General features: G+C 44.1%; 1 protein-coding gene and 1 non-coding gene across 31 annotated transcripts in view, besides 4 other annotated features; one reads left to right on the forward strand and one right to left on the reverse strand.

The window, feature by feature from the left end:
• Positions 1-7,255, reverse strand: part of ABI1 (abl interactor 1) — a 114,363-nt gene extending 107,108 nt beyond the window's left edge. For all 30 annotated transcript variants that reach the window (NR_145410.2, XR_007061931.1, NM_001178125.2 and 27 more), the window contains exon 1: positions 7,044-7,255. Coding sequence is in view for 28 of the 30 variants with exons in the window: in NM_001178125.2 (NP_001171596.1) it covers positions 7,044-7,160 (117 nt within the window). In the remaining 2 variants the exon portion in view is untranslated. The remainder of the gene's footprint in view (positions 1-7,043) is intronic.
• Positions 4,629-4,678: a silencer, noted in NCBI's record as "silent region_2240". NCBI's record gives its function as "represses an Ori minimal core promoter by ATAC-STARR-seq in GM12878 lymphoblastoid cells {active_cell/tissue: GM12878}" and the evidence as "EXISTENCE:reporter gene assay evidence [ECO:0000049][PMID:35858748]".
• Positions 6,628-6,777: a silencer, noted in NCBI's record as "silent region_2241". NCBI's record gives its function as "represses an Ori minimal core promoter by ATAC-STARR-seq in GM12878 lymphoblastoid cells {active_cell/tissue: GM12878}" and the evidence as "EXISTENCE:reporter gene assay evidence [ECO:0000049][PMID:35858748]".
• Positions 6,888-6,977: a silencer, noted in NCBI's record as "silent region_2242". NCBI's record gives its function as "represses an Ori minimal core promoter by ATAC-STARR-seq in GM12878 lymphoblastoid cells {active_cell/tissue: GM12878}" and the evidence as "EXISTENCE:reporter gene assay evidence [ECO:0000049][PMID:35858748]".
• Positions 7,298-7,497: an enhancer, noted in NCBI's record as "active region_3176". NCBI's record gives its function as "activates an Ori minimal core promoter by ATAC-STARR-seq in GM12878 lymphoblastoid cells {active_cell/tissue: GM12878}" and the evidence as "EXISTENCE:reporter gene assay evidence [ECO:0000049][PMID:35858748]".
• LOC124902581 (small nucleolar RNA U13) lies at positions 14,462-14,561 on the forward strand. Its single transcript, XR_007062414.1, has one exon. It is a non-coding gene; the product is annotated as a small nucleolar RNA U13 (small nucleolar RNA).
• Positions 14,562-19,959: the final 5,398 nt, after the last annotated feature.

Genomic DNA, 19,959 nt, shown 5'->3' on the forward strand with positions numbered 1-19,959 from the left:
AACTTTGTTTCTGTATTTTTAGTAGAGACGGGGTTTCACCATGTTAGCCAGGATGGTCTCGATCTTCTGACCTCATGATCCGCCCGCCTCATCCTCCCAAAGTGCTGGGATTACAGGTGTGAGCCACCACGCCCAGCCTTTACCTTACTTTTCATGCCAACACTATTTTCATGGGTTTTATAGATTTATATCTGCACAATATCCTAGAGTTTGATCCAACCTCTTGTCCCAATATGAACACTCTTCCTTTCTGGCTAACATATTTTTGACTGTTAACTGTCTTAATTCTTAGGACATAATTTCACTGAATATAAATAAGGTTACTGTAAATGGTCACACAGCAGATCCCCAGTTGCCTAAATATCTCCTTTCCACAAGGACTATTAGCATTCCTGAGCTATCAGAATCAACTGGAGAACGCAGAAGCACACAAGAAAAATTTGCAAGTATCCTAAGAGATTATTTCAATAATTTTCTAAGAAAACTCTCCAAAAGACAGAAGCATGCTAAAATTGAGGTTCTAAACAGACCAGGACTAGTCAGAAGTACTACATATAAAGCTGTTATTAGTATTAAAGCCACAAAAGAAAAAAGAGAAGACATTAGTTTTAATACAAATTTGCAAATATTATATAGTCCTAAAAATATGCAGTATTCTCACCTTGAGAGTATTAGCAAGAACTGATATATGTGATATGGACTTTCATAAGAACTGATATGCTGGGTTCACAGACTTGGTGTGAAAGAAGAAAAAAAAAAAGGAAAGAAAAGAAAAAAAAAGAACTGATATGCTAGGTCAGATCCTGCTCTACCCAGCCCTGTATCACCTTGACACAACAGCATGAATAAACATGTAATGACATGGTATGGGTCGATTTAACAATTAACTGAGGATCTTCCATAAAATTATCTAACCTTCTGTTAAATACATTTACATTTCCAACCTACATCTCTAACTTTGCTAGTCACTGTTTTACTCACACTTCAAAGTGCAATTCTAGGAATTCTAACCATTCCAGTCTATCCTCATCTCCTGAATCACTTTGACTGTTTTTCCCCAAACCTGGTTTGTATAGAAATCACATCTACCCAGAATATTTCCACATATTTTTTGTTAATCTCTACAAATGCTTCTTCAAAATTTCTTAGCACAATTGCAACACAGACTAACAATAGAAAAAAGACAGGCAAGGATGCAGGAAAAGAAAAAAGGATCCAGGGAGCTCAGTGAAAAGCTAGGCTGTAATTCCTATACAGGTTCAGTATCCCTAATCTGGAAATCCAAAACCCAAAACTTCTTGAGCATCAACATGACACAAAAATAAATGCTCATTAGACTATTCTGGATTTCAGATTTTCAGATTAGGGAGGCTCAACCAGTAAGTATATAATGCAAACATTCCAAAATTCAAAAAAAAATCTGAAACATTTCTGGTCCCAAGCATTTTGAATAAAGGATACTTAACCTGTAGTTGAACACTTCAAATGCCAAAGTTACCATCTTTTGGTGATATAGGCAAGTCCCTAAATTACAAACATATCTCTTCTTATATTCACAACCTGGAAACAATGGTAAAGAGTTGTTAGGTTCCCAGGCTTGCCCAATACCAGTCTATTCTGTTTATTCCACGGTATTCCTGAACCAGTTTTGAGTTCTAGATTCTTTCATGTGAAAACAGTATGATATGAAAAGAGCACAGCCTATGGAGTCTGCCAGAGTCAGAAGGAAGTCCTGACTGCCAATTACTAACTCTATGACTAAACAAAACTTAACTTTTATGAGTCCTAATTTCCTCATATGTAAGACAGCACTGTCTGTCGTGGCGAGTTTGTAAGGATTAAAGATAATACAAAACCAACCAGCAGAGACTGCAATGGAGTACGTATTCAATAAATAGAGGCAATTATATTACCCTCTACCCTTCTCTATTACCCTCTGCGCACATTGTTTTTATCCCCTATGTTGCCATAAGAACCCTGTTTAGGGCCGGGTGCGGTGGCTCACACCTGTAATCCCAGCACTTTGGGAGGCCAAGGCGGGTGGATCACCCGAGGTCAGGAGTTTGAGACCAGCCTGGCCAATATGGTGAAACTCCGTCTCTACTAAAAATACAAAAATTAGCCAGGCATGGTGGTGGGCACCTGTAATCTCAACTACTCGGGAGGCTGGGGTAGGAAAATCACTTGAACCCAGGAGGCGGAGATTGCAGTGAGCTGAGATCGTGCCACCGCACTCCAGCCTGGGTGACAGAGCAAGACTCCATCTCAAAAAAAAAAAAAAAAAAAAAGAACCCCATTCTGGGCTGGGCATGGTGGCTCACACCTGTAATCCCAACTCCATGGGAGACTGAGGACAGTGGATCACCTGAGGCCAGAGTTCGAGATCAGCCTGGCCAACATGGTGAGACCCTGTCTCTACTAAAAATGCAAAAATTAGCTGGGTGCAGTGGCATGCACCTGTATTCCCAGCTACTCAGGAGGCTGAGGCAGGAGAATTGCTTGGAGGTTGCAGCGAGCTGAGATCATGCCACTGCACTCCAGCCTGGGTGACAGAGTAAGGCTCTGTCTAAAGAAAAAAAAAAAAAAACCCATTCAGGATTAATTAGATGGAATTTGGGATTTGGAATCGAGAAAATCTGGGTTTGATTCCAGGCCCCACCTCATACAAGCTACTGAACTTTAGGTTGGGTATTTAATACCTCGGAACCTCTAACTGTCCATCTGTTACTCAAAAAAAAAAAAAAAAAAAAAAAAAAAAACTGACACAGTTTGTAAACTGGCATAAAGTGTACAGTATCAGAAATGTTAGCTTTTACCTACTCCAAACGGATCCTGCTCAAAAATTACCCACCTTCTGAGATTAAATGTGCTAATGAAGCAAATGTCACAGGAGGAGGAAAGCAAGCTGAAGTGAGTAGCTCACAGTAACATACTGGGATGATATCCCCTTCATACTCCTAGGCTTTAGAACATACTTGTTAACCCAAATAAAGCTCCTGGTAGAAATCCAGACAAAAAATAAAATTAAATTTTAAAGTTAAGCTGTATGAAGACTTTTCTGTCCTTACCCCCAACCTACCAATCTGCATCCTGACAAACCTTCTTAAGCAGTTTCTACTCCTTTTCACTCGGCTTTCCTTCCTATTTCCCAGAATAGTTCCCATAACAAAGGCAGTATGAACTAACTCTAAGGTAGAGCACAGAGAACTGGCTAAACATGTGTGTTCAAATTAAGCACTGTCCTTGGCATGAAAAATTCAATCTGGTCATAGTAAAGGAATATGGAAAAGTCTCTTCTGTATGTCTACATAAATGACTATATAAAAACACTTTCAGCCAGGCATGGTGGCTCACACCTATAATCCCAACACTTTGGGAGGCCGAGGAGGGCAGATCACCTAAGGTCAGGAGTTCGAGACCAGCCTGGCCAACATGATGAAACCCTGCCTCTGCTAAAAACACAAAAAATTAGCCAAGCGTGGTGGTGGGCACCTATAATCCCAGCTACTTGAGAGGCTGAGGCAGGAGAATCGCTTGAACCCAGGAGGTGGAGGTTGCAGTGAGCCAAGATCGCACCATTGCACTCCAGCCCAGGCAATAGAGCGAGACTCCATCTCAAAAAAAAAAAAAAAAAAAAAAAAAAAAAACACTTTCTGGCAAGGTGCAGTGGCCTATGTCTGTAATACTGGCACACTGGGAGGCCAAGGCAGGCAGACTGCTTGAGACCAGGAGTTTGAGACCAGCCTAGGCAACATGGCAAAACCCCATCTCTACAAAACAAATACAGAAATTAGCTGGGAGTGGTGGTGCGCACCTGTAGTCCCAGCTACCTGGGGGGGCTGAGGTGGGAGGATCTCCAGAGCCCAGGAGGTTGAGGCTGCAGTAAGCCATGATGGCATCACTGCACTCCAGCCTGAGCAACAGAGCAAGACTGTGTCTCAAAAAAAAAAAAAAAAAAACTTTCTATTTTTAGTATTATTTACCCCATGGCAACTGTTAAAACCCTGTCCTTGCATATACCTGTGGTCTCAGCTACATGGGAGGCTGAGGTGGGAGGACTGCTTGAGCCCAGGAGGTCAAGGCTGCAGTGAATGGTGTTCACACACCACTGCACTCCAGCCTGGGTGACAGAGCAAGTCTGTCTCAAAAAAAAAAAAAAAAAGAAAGAAAAAAACTGTCCTTTTTAATGTAGTAGAATCTTTTCAGATGTTTTGCTATTAATAATACAACCTACTAGTTAAAAGTCAACAGAACCAAAGAACTAATAAACTGCCGCAAGAACTTAAATGCACCACAGCCAAAAGAGTTTCTCAGCTACACACCTTAGCTAAACTGGACTGCACTTTCAAACTGTAGAAAAACGAAATGAAAAGTGAATCTCAGAACAAAAATCACCCAAGCAATAACTTAGCTCACCTTATTTAAAAATTCTCAAAGCACACGTGAACTGCATACTTTCACTGAGAAGAGATATATATTTAGGAAGAGTATTAGTTATAAATAACCCAATCAGGTCACAGGAAGGATACAGAAAGACCTCAACAGACACCCTAATGGATATTTCTAATATTATTCATTCCCCATTCTTAGCACCAAAGTCAGCAGCACCACCTACCACATCAACTTCCACATCACTTTCTGAGCCTGACCCTGTCTGAGTCCCTTAGGGAGGCAACTAGTGGCCTGGATCATGCAGCCCAACGTATAAAGGCTACTAAGGTATTTAGATAATCATTGCTTTGCGTGAATTCTTTTTTTTTTTTTCCAATATGAACAAAACACCTCACTGGTGTCAGATTTAGGATTATACCCCACCCCGCCCCCACAAAAAAAGAAAAAAAAAAAAAAAAAAAAAAAAAACGGGGCCACTGACTGTGGCTATTCGTGCACCATGGCACTAACATTTTATAAAGTGAGAGACTGTATGAAAAATAACATGACTTAATTAGAGATATTAGCAATGAAGTTTTAAAGTGCTTCAAAGTTACATGATTGTAGCAAGAGGAGTAAAGGAAAGGGGTCAGAGAGGGGTAAAAAAAAAGCATTACAACATACAACTACCTGAAAAAGTAATAGTACACAGACAGGTTAAAACACGTTTACAGTTACTAACAGTTGCCAACACATAGTTACCACACTATATACTTGTCAGATTTCCCAACATGCAAAACAAAAAGGAGCCACCCCTGTATGAAGCACTTATCTACTGACTTCTACAGAGAACACATAACTTTTCTGGAAAGCGAGAAATTAAACTTACTGTGCTCTCCTTTTGGCTTTCAAAAATCTTTAAAACTTTCAGCAAATTAAGGTTCTCCTCAATTTCAAGGCTTTTCATGTTAAGTTGAATAAAAGTTGCCTATTTTTAATATCGATAAACTACGAGATCACTTTTATATTTGCAAACCATATCCACATCCCTACTAGATTTTTAAAAGTTTTTCGAAGGGCTAAATATAAAGTTTGCACAAAGTGATACAGTAGATGTGGCAGGCATTCAACAAGTTCACTTATCAGGAGAATTCCTAAAGTGAAAGCTTGAAAAAAAAATTGTGAAGATAAATTCCGAGTAGTGCTACTGAAGATACAATGTTACTAACATGAAAACTGAGAAATATTCAAAACATTCTGAAAACAGCATCTCCCTCTAAAAATAAAGAGGGGAAGCATTTGCCAACACAGAAACATCGGTTCTTAAAAATTATAATCACATGGGAGACATTTCTATAAACAATTTAGTTCTGAATTGCAATAACCCTAACCTTTCAAAGCACGTTTTGGCCTTGCCTTACCAAAAGCAAGAGCATTCCTGGTGCCTTTATATTTATACAAAGGACTGTGCTACTTTGTTTCTAGCGCAAACTGTTGGTTTACACAGTTAAAGATCTTCAAAACAAACTACCACACACAATTCACTTCCAATCATCCAAAGAGAAACGAACAAACAAGCATCTGTCACAAAGTCCCAAGAGTTTTCTAATTTACAATAACAGATATTTTTACGTTGTAGTTCAGAGGCTACCTCTGTTCGTTTCTGTATTTGGATTCACATACTATACATTTACTTAGCTTGTTAAGAGAGAAACCTCAGAAAATAAGCAACCGGCGATGACACCAGTCTATTTTAAGTTACTTATGAAGCCTACAGCTCAAGAACTTTTGGGAGAAGGGAGGGTAAGCCGTTTTTCCAAGGAGTTAAGAACAATTCGTGTTTGATAATTAATGATAGCAGCCCTAACAACCTCTTAGAATACATTATGGTGGGGCGGAAGTGAAAACGATGAGAGGGGGAAAAAAATAAAAAAAACCCGACTTGAAAATGGACAAGCAGACAGATTTACAAACCTTCAATTAAAGGAATTTTAAGATGAACTTCTCTCAAACGCCCTCCCTCACTCCCCACACCCGCTTCCTCCTCTCCTCCGGGAGGTCGGTGTAATGTGACTCATGACAAATTTTTTTTAAATAAATAAATAAATAAAAGACACACCCTCTGGGGGCTGAAACTGACATAATCGCCCCCACCCCACCCTCCGCCGACACACAACACACACCCCGCTGGTCCTCTCCCTTCTGCGGCTTCAGCCTCGTCCCTGCCCTCTCCTCTCCCCTCTCCCGTCCTGGACCTCCTCTCCCGGCGCAGAGAGGCGGCGCGGCGGCAGCTCGGGGGTATTCCGGGACTCCAGCCCTGCGGACTGGAGGCTACCTGGGGGGCGCGCGACCCCGGTGGCCGGGCCCTGGGGGAAGCGGACGCGAGGGGGGCGCCGGGCTGCGGCAGCGGCGGGCTCCCGGCTCCCTCGCCCATTTTCTCTCTCCCCTTCTATCGGTTTCCACCACCACAGCCACTTCCTGTATCGCAGCCCGACTCCCTCAGCCCGGCCACTCGCTCTGTCCCCGGTTGGGGCTGGGGTTGGGGCTGCGGTAGGGGCTCGGGTTGGTGGCAGCCGCTGAGGTCAGGGCAGTTCCCCACCCCGCCCAGTGGGCTGGTCACTCCGGCGGGTCCTCGACCCGGCCAGCGCCCGCCGGCCGCCAGAGCGCCTCACCTGTATGTAGTTGTTTTCACAGTAGTCTGCCACCCGAGTCAGGTTCTGGTAACTCTCGATCAGCGCCCTCTTGCCAGACGGGATCTCCTCCTCTAGTAACATCTGCAGCTCTGCCATTTTCCACCCCTCTGCATCGCTTCCTCTCGCGTTAAAGAGACAGAGGCAGCAAGGTCCGCCGAGGCTCCGAGCACCTCACAGCCCGGATACAAACCGCCTACCCGCCCTCCCGCCTGGTATTGTGGGACGGCACCTCCTCCCCTTCCTCCTCACTCTCTCCAGCCCCCCTCCACCCCCTTCGTGCAGCCGCCTGAACCTCGTTCTCTCGCGAGCGTTTATTTCTCCCACCCCCACGGACCGCGGGATTTTTTTTTTCTTTCGCACTGTCTTCTGGGAATTGTAGTCTCTCCTAGGCTAGGCGGCCCGTCCAAAGCGCATGCGCCCAGACACCTCCGAAAACCAACGCGGCAGAGCGCAGAAAGCGGAGACCGAGGGTGGAGGGAGGGGGCGGTGTTGGGGGGAAGTCCGGAGTTTCCTCACAGCTCCGGAAGGTGGCGCCACAGGGTGATACTGGGGGAATGAAATCGGTTCCCCAAGTTTCATGTGAAACTTGGCAGAACTTGGTTAATTAGGAAATGTCAGTGAATCAAGGACACCCATTCAGAGAAGGATTAAAAAGGGGACAGAGTACGGAAAACTAGATTTTTACTTCCTCTGCCTTCTTAGAAATAAAGCGAGTCAGGCTTTACTTTCTGAAGTTCCGCCCCCATCAATTCATTTAAAATTTAGCAAACATTTCTTGATTGCCAGCTGTTTACCAAGCAGCGTACTAGACACTGGGGGTACAAGTTGAGTACGAATACTCCGTACCCTTAAAGACTCAATTATAAAATAAACATACATAGCTTGTAGTGCTTTCCTGTCCTAATTTCTCTTTTCTCTGACTCTCCTTATCATGTAATCTTCCTACACTTTTAAGGTCATGTGCACGTTTTTTTAGGGGTGGGAGTTGTTTGCTTGTTTGAGACAGGATCTCACTGTTACCCAGCCTGGAGTACAGGGGCACAATCATGGGTCTCTGCAGCCTAGACCTCCTAAAGTCAAGCGATCCTCCTGCCTCAGCCTCCAGAGTAACTGGGACTACAAGCGTCGGTCACTACACCTGGCTGAGCTTTTTAATTTTTTATAGCGACAGGGATCAAATTATGTTGCCCTCGCTCGTCTCGAACCCCTGGCCTCAAGCAATCCTTCTGCCTCAACCTCCCAAACTGCTAGGATTACAATCATGAGCCACCCACCCTGATCCTTCGTTTTTTGCTCCTGGATTTTTGTTTTGTTTTGTTTTTATCACCTGCTTTGGAATAGTCTCAAAAGGCCCTATATTTCAAGCTCTTCACTTCAACAGGAACATTAAATGCTTCGGATATAATCAGCTATGAAAAGTGTTGTCCAAAGACTTTGGACATATGTTCATGTATCTCCATAAAGTCATTTAGAATCAAAATAACTAGGAGTAAAAACATCACTCAACCAAATTAAAAATTGCCAGCACCAGGTATTTATTGAATATTGCCTTTACTGGGGCCTTATTCAGGGCCCCAGGGAACCAGTTTCCCTCTTCGACCTCTGAAAGGAAAAACTCAGTTTCCTACTAAAAACGTTAACTTCCCCTTGCCACCAGATTCTCCATCAAGGAATCTATCAAAAGATAACTATTATACCTATTCCAGATATTATGGAAAGTAATACATTTATTATCTGGAATAGGTGTAATAGTTATCTTTTGATATTTATCGTTAACCCAAACACGACTTAATCCAAGTTATTAAAATTTAATGTATTATTGATCTTGGTCTCTACTTGAGGTTTAACTGTAGAAATCACTCAGTTTGTATATATTCAAATATTGACACATTTCAACAACATTGGGGAAGTGATTAGGGAGGTGATACTAATTTACTATTTTCAACGTACTGTCCATGCAGTTGAGCAATGAATGAATAATAATGATGATGATGATAAATACAAATAAAAAGTACTGTCAGATTTCTTCTCACAACTCTGAGAGACAGATAATATAAATATTATTTTCCTTCCTTATCAAATAAGGAAATTTAAGCTTAGATAGGTTAAGGAGTTTAGCTAAGGGCACTGAAAATGCCGTCAAGTTTCCTAGGTTACTGATTGATATGGTTTGGATCTGCATCCCTGCCAAATCTCATGTTGAATTGTAATCCCTAATGTTGGAGTTGGGACCTGGGGGAAGCGGGAGTGGATCATGGAGCAGATTTCTCACGAATGGTTATGCAGCATCCTGTTGGAACTCTCCTTATGATCTCGAGTGAGTTCTCCTGAGATCTGGTCATTTAAAAGTGTATGACAGCCCAGTGCAGTGGCTTGTGCCTGTAATCCCAGCACTTTGGGAGACCAAGGTGGGAGAATCCACTTGACTCCCAAAATGGGAGACCAACATGACGAACTACTCCCGCTTGAGTTCCAGACCACCCCGAGCAACATGGCAAAAACCCGTCTCTACAAAAAACACGAAAAATTAGCCAGGTGTGGTAGTGAGCACCTGTAGACTCAGCTACTTGGGAGGCTGAAGTAGGAGGATTGCTTGAGCCTGGAAGGCACAGATTGCAGTGAGCCAAGATCACAGCACTGCACTCTAGCCTGGGTGACAGAAGGAAACCATGTCTAAAAAATGAAATAAATGTATATGACACCTCCCCGCCTGCCTCCTGCTCCCCTCCTGCCACATGAGACATTTCTCTTCCCCTTTGCCTTCCTGCCATTTTGGAAGCTTCCTGAAGCCTCCCAGAAGCAGAAGCAGCTATGCTTCTGGTACAGCCTTCAGAGCCAGGAACCAATTAAACCTCTTTTCTTTATGAATTACCCAGTCTCAGATAGTTCTTTATAGCAGTGCTAGAATGGACTAATACAGTGATCTTTCCAAAATCCAGTGGACAGTGCAAACTTGTACAAATATTTGTGGCTCATGTAAAGTTCACTAAAAGAACTTATCCCTCATGCCTTAAAGGTGAGGAGGAACAGGAGCAGGAGGAACAGGAGTAGGAGGAAGGAGAGGAGAAAGGGGTGGAAGAGGAGGGGGAGGAGGAGGAGGAGGAAGAAAAAGGAGAAGGAGGAGAAGGGAGAAGAAGGAGGAGGAGGAGAAAAGAAAAAGGAGGAGGGAGAGAGGGAGCGGGGGGAGGAGGAGGAGGAGAAAAAGAAAGAAGGAAGACGAGGAAAACCAAAACCTGGGAGAAAATATCTGCAAAACAAATATCTTGATAAAGGAGTTGTACCCTAATATATAAACAACTCTTACAGTTCAGTAATAAGATGACAAACCAGTTTTTTAAAACAAGCCAAAAGGCTGGGCACAGTGGCTCACACCTGTAATCCCAGCATTTTGGGAGGCTGAACCAGGAGGATCACTTGAGCCTACGAGTTTGAGACTAGTCTGAGCAACAGGCTCTCTCTACAACATGTATGTTTTTTTCAAGTAGCTAGGCACGGACTGGGCACAGTGGCTCATATCTGTAATCCCAGCACTTTGGGAGGTCAATGTGGGCCGACCACTTGAGGCCAGAAGTTCGACACCAGCCTGGCCAACACGGGGAAACCCTATCTCTACTAAAAATAAAATACAAAAATTAGCCGGGCGTGGTACTTAGGCAGCTGAGGCAGGAGAATTGCTTGAACCCAAGAGGCAGAGGTTGCAGTGAGCTGAGATCATGCCACTGCAGTCCAGCCTGGGGGACAGAGGGAGATTCTTATCTCAAAAAAAGAAAGCAAACAAACAAAAAAAAACGGCACGGTGGCTCACACCTGTAATCCCAGCACTTCGGGAGGCTGAGGCGGGCAGATCACCTGAGGTTGGGAGTTCATGACCAGCCTGACCAACATGGAGAAACCCTGTCTCTACTAAAAACACAAAATTAGCTGGGTGTGGTGGCACGCACCTGTAGTCCCAGCTACTTGGGAGGCTGAGGCAGGAGAATTGCTTGAACACACAAGGTGGAGGTTGTGGTGAGCCAAGATTGAGCCGTTGCACTCCAGCCTGGGAAACGAGAGCAAAACTCTGTCTCAGAAAAAAATAAAACTAAAAAATAAAATAAAAAAATAACCTACTGTATGATTCCTCTTCTAAGAAATTTTAGAAAAGGCAAAATTACAGTGATAGAAATCAGATCAGACTTTGCCAAAGGCTGGAGTAGTGGTGGGGTGACACCAAAGGGATGCAAGTGAACTTTTAGAGGTAAAGGAAATGTTCAATATCATCACTGTACTGGGGGCTACATAACTACATACATTTGTCAAATCACATTGAATTGCACACTTAAAATCTATGCCTTTTGCCGGGCGTGGTGGCTCATGCCGGTAATCCCAGCACTTTGGGAGGCCCAGGCATGTGGGTCACATGAAGTCATGAGTTCAAGACCAGCCTGGCCAATGTGGTGAAACCCCGTCTCTATTAAAAATACAAAAATTAGCCGGGTGTGGTGGCGCACACCTGTAATCCCAGCTACTCAGGTGGCTGAGGCAAGAGAATCACTTGAACCTGGGAGGCGGAGGTTGCAGTGAGCCAAGATCATGCCACTGGACTCCAGCCTGGACTACAGAGTGAGACTCCATCTAAAAAAAAAAAAAAAAATCTGTGCCTTTTATTGCAACTAAATTATACCTCTGAGCTGGGCATGGTGGCATCCCTAGCTATTCGGAAGGCTAAAGCAGGAGAAGCCCAGGAGGCTGAGGTTGCAGTGAGCTATGATGGTGACCCTTCGCTCAAGTCTGGGTGACAAAGCAAGATCCTGTCTCAGAATAAATAAATAAAGTATATCTCAATGAAACTGGACAAAGAAAATGCAAGCAGGGAAACAATTCCTTGCTTCGAATAATAAAAAGGGAAAAACTACATATTTTTGTTGTATTTGATGTATGATGAAAAGTATAAGTGAGTGAAAGTTCAAGAGTTAACATTAAGAATTGCAGGTAGGGCTGGGTGCGGTGGCTCACGCCTGTAATCCCAGCACTTTGGGAGGCCAAGGCAGGCGGATCACCTGAGGTCAGGAAGTTGAGACCAGCCTGGCCAACATGGTGAAACCCTGTCTCTACTAAAAATACAAAAATTAGCCGGGCATGGTGCCAGGTGCCTGTAATCCCAGCTACTCAGGAGGCTGAGGCAAGAGAATCACTTGAACTGGGAGACGGAGGTTGCAGTGAGCTGAGATCACGCCATTGCACTCTAGCCTGGGCAACAAGAGCGAGACTCCATCTCACAAAAAAAAAAAAAAAAAGAAGAAGAATTGCAGGTAGACACTGTGACACTGAATTAAGGGCATCATGCTAACTTTTTAAGTCTAACTTCTCTCCCATAATGTGCACCTATTATATTCTTCATTGAGTTAGTATTTTTCTGTGGATTTTGTGCAAATAAATTATAATGAAATGCCTTTCAAAGAAATCCCAACAGAATAAGGAAAAACAGTGGCTGTATATACCTAATGATGTATTCCTAGGGCTAAATCAGACCTTGCACATTTCATTTCATGGATGTCTAGTCAGACTAATCAATTTGGTCATGAAAAACTGTGTGTAACTGAAAATTCGGCACATATGCATGAAGAGAAATTGAAATTTCATGTATCTCACTCAGAAATAGCAGATCACTGACGATCATAAAGACTCATTTTGGAAGAATTAAGAGATGTTCCAGGCGAAATCATAATTTGGATTATTTTGGTACATAATTGCTGATCTTATTATCTAGCACACCACATACTGAGAGAACTTCAGAATCCTGCAAAGTTAATTCACGATATGGCATCCTAGGACATTACATTGGAAGTGAGTGGTCCACAGACAAGAATGTAGAGCAGCAGTGAGAACTAGTGGAAAGAAACCAGGGGTCAGGCAATCAAGGTTTTCCCCCTAAACCTGCCTGCCTCCCCAACCCCTGCCACCCCATGCACCCGCCACAACCACCACCACCACTATGTGACATGACCACCTCCTCCGTGAAAACAGGGTAGGGAGGAGTATATTACTCTACTAGGGCTGCCATAACAAAATATCACAGACTGGGTGGCTTAAACAACAGAAATTTATTTCGCACAGCTTTGGAGGCTGGAGGCCTAAGATCAAGAAGTTAGTAGGGTTGGTTTCCCTGAAGTCTCTCTTCTTGGCTTGTAGATAGTTGCCTTCTTGCTGTGCCCTCACCTGCACCCACATATTTGGTGTCTCTTCTTCTTGTTATAGGGACACCACTTATATTGAATTAGGGCCCCACCCTAAAGACCTTATCTTAGTCATATCTTTAAAGGTACTGGGGGTTAGGACTTCCACATGTGAATTTTGAATGGACACAATTCAGTCCATAGCAGTAAGTTGACTGACATTCTAGGGTTTTACAACAACTCTCAATTATTTCCTCTCCTTGCTTCTTTTTCTTTTTTTTTCTTTTTTTTTTTGGTGAGACAGAGCCTTGCTCTGTTGCCCAGGCTGGAGGGCAGTGGCGTGATCTTGGCTCACTGCAACCTCCACCTCCCGAATTCAAGTGAATCTCATGACTCAGCCTCCCAAGTAGCTGGGATTCCAGCCACGTGCCACCACGACCAGCTAGTTTTTGTATTTTTTGGTAGAGACGGGGTTTCACCATGTTGGCCAGGGTGGTCTCAAACTCCTGATCTCAAGTGATCCACCCACCTTGGCCTCCCAAAGTGCTGGAATTACAGGCATGAGTCACCGTGCCCAGCTGTGGTTTTTTGTTTTTGTTTTTGTTTTGTTTTGTTTTGAGATGGAGTCTTGCTCTGTTGTCCAGGCTGGAGTGCAGTGGCATGGTCTTGGCTCACTGCAAACTCCACCTCCCGGGTTCAAGCAATGCTCCTGCCTCAGCCACCCAAGTAGCTGGGATTACAGGTGCCTGCCACCACGTCCAGCTAATTTTTTGTATTTTTAGTAGAGATGGGGTTTCACCATGTTGGCCAGGCTGGTCTCGAGCTCCTGACCTAGTGATCTGCCCACCTCAGCCTCCCAAAACACTGGGATTACAAGCATGAGCCACTGTGCCCGGCCAGTATGGTTTTTAGATGAGTAAATCTCTTGTTAATTTTGGAAGCTGCTGAACCAACATCTCTTCCAACATCTCCTCCTCCACCTCCCTTTTGAACTTCAGTAAGATATTGTAAGCATTTGTAACAGAGCAGTTTCTGGAGCAATTAACCTGGCCAGGTATAACAAGTACCTCATTCTCTGAGCCTAGTGGTGAACTGGGAGCTAGTGATGGTCTTCCCTGAGCTTTGAGCCTCAAACTTTTCCAATGGTTTTTTAAATCCCCCACTGCCTGAAATATCTATAGTAATTTTTGTTTCCTGACTGAACTCTGATACAACTAAACACAAAACACATTTAAAATTCTGATCCTTTCATAGTTCATAAGCATGATTGGGTTTTCACACTATGTGTAAGATGTGCCTCCATCAAACCTTGTTAGGATGTTGGCATATCACCCATCTGATGTGGGGGGAAAATAAAAGTTCAATGTAGTCCCAGCTACTCAGGAGACTGAGCCAAGAGGACCACCTGAGCCCAGGAGTTCGGGCTGCTGTGGGAAATGACTGAACTTGTGAATATCACTGCACTCCAGCCTGGGCAACAGTGCAAGACCTAGTCTCTGAAAAAACAGTTCTAGAGACAAATGACAATCCACATAAAGTTAGTGTTTCTTTCGTTGGAAGTTACAGAAAATGACTCAAGCTAGCATCAGTTGAGGGTGGGAGAAAAAAATTTTATTATAAAAATTCAGGCTTACAGAACTCAAAAATAGAAATGCAATCAGTAATCAGTCCTAAGAAAGTACTAGAATGAATCCTTTGGAAGGACAGCAGGAACCTGGCAGCATTCTCAATAAACGTCTTGTTTCTTTGCCTAAAGGTTTTCTTCACTGCCTTTTCTAAGTGGTGGAGAGCATGTAAATTCAAATCCCAAGTTTTCCCTTCTACTGCATTCAAGAAGCCCAATCTGAGATTGAAATCCTTCCGTTCCAAACCCATATCTCGCAAAAAGAAAATCTGATTAGTCCAAGTTAAATTTCTTTTTTTAGTTTATTTTTATTTTATTTATTTTTTTGAGACGGAGCCTCGCTCTGTTGCCCAGGCTGGAGTGCGGCGGCCGGATCTGGGCTCACTATAACCTCCACCTCCCAGGTTCAAGTGATTCTCCTGCCTCAGCCTCCCGAGTAGCTGGGACTACAGGCACGTGCCACCATGCCTGGTTCATTTTTGTATTTTTAGTAGAGACGGGGTTTCACTATGTTGGCGAGGCTGATCTCGAACTCCTGACCTTGTGATCTGCCCACGTCGGCCTCCCAAAGTGCTGGGATAAAGGCGGGAGCCACGGCCCCCAGCAGCCACCGCCACCACTGCCTCCTCCTCCTTCTCCTCCTCCTCCTCCTCCTACTCCTCCTCCTCCTCCTCCTCATCCTTCTCCTCCTCCTCCTTCTTCCTCTTTCTTTTGAGACAGGGTGTCTCTCTGTTGCTTAGGCTAGAGTGCAGTGGCATGGTCACAGCTCACTGTGGCGTACTGAAGCCTCAACCTCCCATCTCAGCCTTCCAAGTAGCTGGGACTACAGGCTCACACCACCATGCCTGATTTTGTTGTTGTTGTTAAGAAATGAGGCCTCGCTCTGTTGCCCAGGCTGGTCTTGAACTCCTGGCCTCAAGTGATGCTCTTGCCTCAGCCTCCCAAATTTCTGGGATTACAGGCATGAGCCACTATGCCCAGCCATCAGCTTGAATTTCATCTTCTTTCCACTTATCACCTTTGGCAGTAGGGGCATGTTCAAACAGCAGCAGCGAAACTATTTGAACCACCCTGAGGTTGGCGTGGGAACTTTCCGGAGAGAATAGATAATCAAGAAAACAACAGTGTCAGGTGTCTACTGAGGAAAATTGTGCAATACATATACGTGTTACCTGGGCGCTATCCAGGACTACCATGTGTGGTTATGCGGGTTACTCACACGCAGCACACTTGGCTGAGGATTAAGTAGGATCTGAGCTTGGTGCCCCAAGCTGAAAGCTCTGGTGTGGGCTGCATTCACTCAGAGGAAGAGGTTCCCTTTTAAAATTAGCACAAGAGTGCTTCACCAGCTTTCAGGAAGTAGCTCTAGTAATCGTTTTAAAAATATATTAATATGCTTTTCTTTTCCTAGTGATGGAATGAGATTTTTTATCTTTTTTTTTTTTTTTTTTATTCTGAGGCAACCATTTGCTCTGGAGAGAATGTGGACTGTTAGGTCACAAATGGAAAATAGGATGAAAAAGTCAATTTTCAGATTTTATAAAGCAAACTAGGATCTTAAAACCAGTCATGAGAAAATGGCCTGGCAAGTCAGACTTTATTATAAGAAAAGGATTTCAGAATTTTAAAAGCATCCTTTCATATATCAAAAGCAAGGCTTAGATGTTGGGAAATTGAGTTTTATTATAAAGCTGTGTATAGAGAAGATCCAAATCATGAAAAGGAATTAGAGAGCCCAAGACTCAGGGAAGGAGGAGAAAGAAAAGCAATAAAGGGGGAAAAGGCTGGGCGCGGTGGCTCATGCCAGCACTTTCGGAGGCCGAGGCGGGTGGATCATCTGAGGTCAGGAGTTCGAGACCACCCTGGCCAAAGTGGTGAAACCCTGTCTCTACTAAAATTACAAAAATTAGGTGGACATGGTGTTGAGTGCCTGTAGTCCCAGCTACTTGATAGGCTCAGGCAGGAGAATCGGTCGAACCCAGGAGGCAGAGGTTGCGGTGAGCAGAGATTGCACCACTGCACTCCAGCCTGGGCGACAGAACAAGACTCCATCTCAAAAAAAAAAAAAAAAAAGAAAATAAAATAAAAGAAAGAAAGGGGGAGGGGAAGGTTTAGGTTCACCTTCTGGGAAGAAACGTCCAAATAAGTTTTTGGGACTCAGTCTAGGGGTGCTTTCTCCTGACTTCTCAGTGCATAATCCAAGAAATCAAAAGCCCCTTTGAAAACACTCTCCATTCAGTAAAGGCGAGAGACACATGACTGCATCCAAGTGCTAATTTTGAAATGGTTGAGGAGGTTTCTAGGCAAATGGGCCCAAGATAGTGCCTGCATTCCCTAATAACTGCAGATCTTTGTAAAAAATCAAAAGTTCACACAAGCCTCCATGGGGCACATGGAAAAGCTAAGAGAACTGAAATTCCAAAGAAGACCTGGGGTCAGAATATAAAAGCTGCTTGTTACAGGGACTTTACAACTGGAGACCAGGGCAGGAAAAGGAACCTTAGAATTTAGCAGCTGATGTTGACAGAGTGCCTAAAGTAATCATGTGGGACAAGCTACACATCCATGATCTCCAGCACTGATGTCCAGGCCAGAGCAGCCAAGCCACATTTCACTGTCTTTTCTCCACACCTGCCTTTTTTTTTTTTTCTTGAGACAGGGTCTCATTCTGTTGCCTAGGCTGGAGTGCAGTGGTGCCATCATAGCTCACTGTAGCCTCAAATTCCTGGGCTCAAGTGACCATTTTGCCTCAGCCTCCCAAGTAGCTGGGACTACAGGTGAGAGCTACCACACTCAGCTAATTTCTTAAAAAAAAAATTGTAGGCTGGGCACGGTGGCTCAGGCTTGTAATTCCAGCACTTTGGGAGGCCAAGGCGGGTGGATCACCTGAGGTCAGGAGTTTGAGACCATCCTGGCCAACACGGCGAAACCCTGTCTCTACTAAAAATACAAAAATTAGCTGGGTGTAGTGGTGCAGACCTGTAATCCCAGCTACTAGGGAGGCTGAGGCAGGAGAATCATTTGAACCCAGGAGGCAGAGGTTGCAGGGAGCCGAAATCGCGTCATTGCACTTCAGCCTGGGCGATAGAGTGAGATTCCATCTCAAAAAAAAAAAAAATTTTTTTTGTAGAGACGAGGTCTTGCCATGTTGGCCAGACTGGTCTTGAACTCCTAGGCTCAAAGGATCCTCCCATCTCAGCCTCCCGAACTGCGAGGATTACAGGCATGAGCCACAGTGCCCAGCCCCTGCTTTGATGGTACATGAACTTCCCCTCAACCAATGCCATTTGATAAGGAGGATTGAGAGGGGAGGCATTTTCAAGGTAGAAAGGCAGCCTGGTAGAAATCTAGGAATAGATAGATTATCTAACAAAAGGAACTAGTATGGACTGAAAGAGACTGTGCTTAAACAGGAGAAGGCTGATTTGCTTTTCCCTGGCAATACAAAGATTTTTCTTGCACTTTCACTTGGACTGGGGCTTGAGAACAAGATGAGTTATAAATAATACAACTTTTTTTTGTATCTGATACACAGTTTGTAAGTTTTTACCTTACTACATATGAGAGAGAAAGGGTTATTATTCCTTTGGGGAAGCTGTATATTATAATGGTCCAAAATACTGTGCTAATGTGGTGATTACTAACCACATGCAACTATTTTATTTTATTATTTATTTCTTCTTTTTTTTTTTGAGACAGGGTCTCCCTCTGTAGCCCAGGCTGGAGGGCAGTGGTGCAATCTCAGCTCACTGCAACTTCTGCCTCCCAGGTTCAAGCAATTCTCCTGCCTCAGCCTCCCGAGTAGCTGGGATTACAGGTGCCACCATGCCTGGCATATTTTTGTATTTTTAGTAGAGACGGGGTTTCACCATGTTGGTCAGGCTGGTCTGGAACTCCCAACCTCAGGTGATCCACCCGCCTTGGCCTCCCAAAGTGCTGGGATTACAGGCATGAACCACTGTGCCCAGCCCACATGCAACTATTTTAATTGAAATTAAATAAAATTAAAATTTCTATTTATACTTCAACTTTCAGGTGCTCATTTCAGGCAGTACTGATATGGTTAGCAGTCACCATATTGGCAATGCAATACAGATTTACAGAAAATTTCCATCATCACAGAAAGTCTTACTTGACAGTGTCTGATTGCCCTGCCAACACTCTCTCCTCCACACGTTTGCCGGTACTTGTTATTGTCTTTTTGAATATAGCCATCATAGTGGGTGTGAAGTTGTATCTCACTGTGGCTTTGATTTGCATTTCCCTAATCACTAGTATGTTCAATATCTTTTCATGTGCTTCTTGGCTAGTTGTATATCTTCCTTAGAAAGTTATCTGTTCAGATCCTTTGGACATCTTCTATTGGGTTGTCTTTTATTTTTTATTATTTATTTATTTTTTTATTTTTTTGAGCTGGAGTCTCACTCTGTCTCCCAGGCTGGAGTGCAGTGGCGCGATCTCGGCTCACCGCAAGCTCCGCCTCCCATGTTCACGCCATTCTCCTGCCTCAGCCTCCCGAGTAGCTGGGACTACAGGCACCTACCACAACTCCTGGCTAATTTTTTGTGTTTTTAGTAGAGACGGGGTTCCACTATGTTGGCCAGGCTGGTCTTGAACTCCTGACCTTGTGATCCGCCTGCTTCAGCCTCCCAAAGTGCTGGGATTACAGGCGTGAGCCACCACGCGTGGCCTGTTTTTTGTTTTTTGAGATGGATCTAGCATTACCAGTATTAGAGGCACTGAATGCCCAGTGACATATGTTCAACGGCTGCCGTATCCTGACCGTGCAAAGGTAGCATAATCACTTGTTCCCTAAATAGGGACTTGTATGAATGGCCACATGAGGGTTTAGCTGTCTCGCTCTGTCACCCAGGCTGGAGTGCAGTGTCACAATCTGGGCTCACTGAAACCTCTGCCTCCCAGGTTCAAGCAATCCTCACACCTCTGCCTTCCAAGTAGCTGGGATTACAGGCTTGCCCCACCATGCCTGGCTAATTTTTTTTTTTTTTTTTTTTTTTCAGACAGAGTCTTGCTCGGTTGCCAGGTTGGAGTGCAGTGGCGTGATCTCGGCCCACTGCAACATCTGCCTCCTGGGTTCAGGTGATTCCCCTGCCTC

The sequence above is a fragment of the Homo sapiens genome, chromosome 10 (genome assembly GCF_000001405.40).
Source record: "Homo sapiens chromosome 10, GRCh38.p14 Primary Assembly".
NCBI lineage: Eukaryota > Metazoa > Chordata > Mammalia > Primates > Hominidae > Homo > Homo sapiens.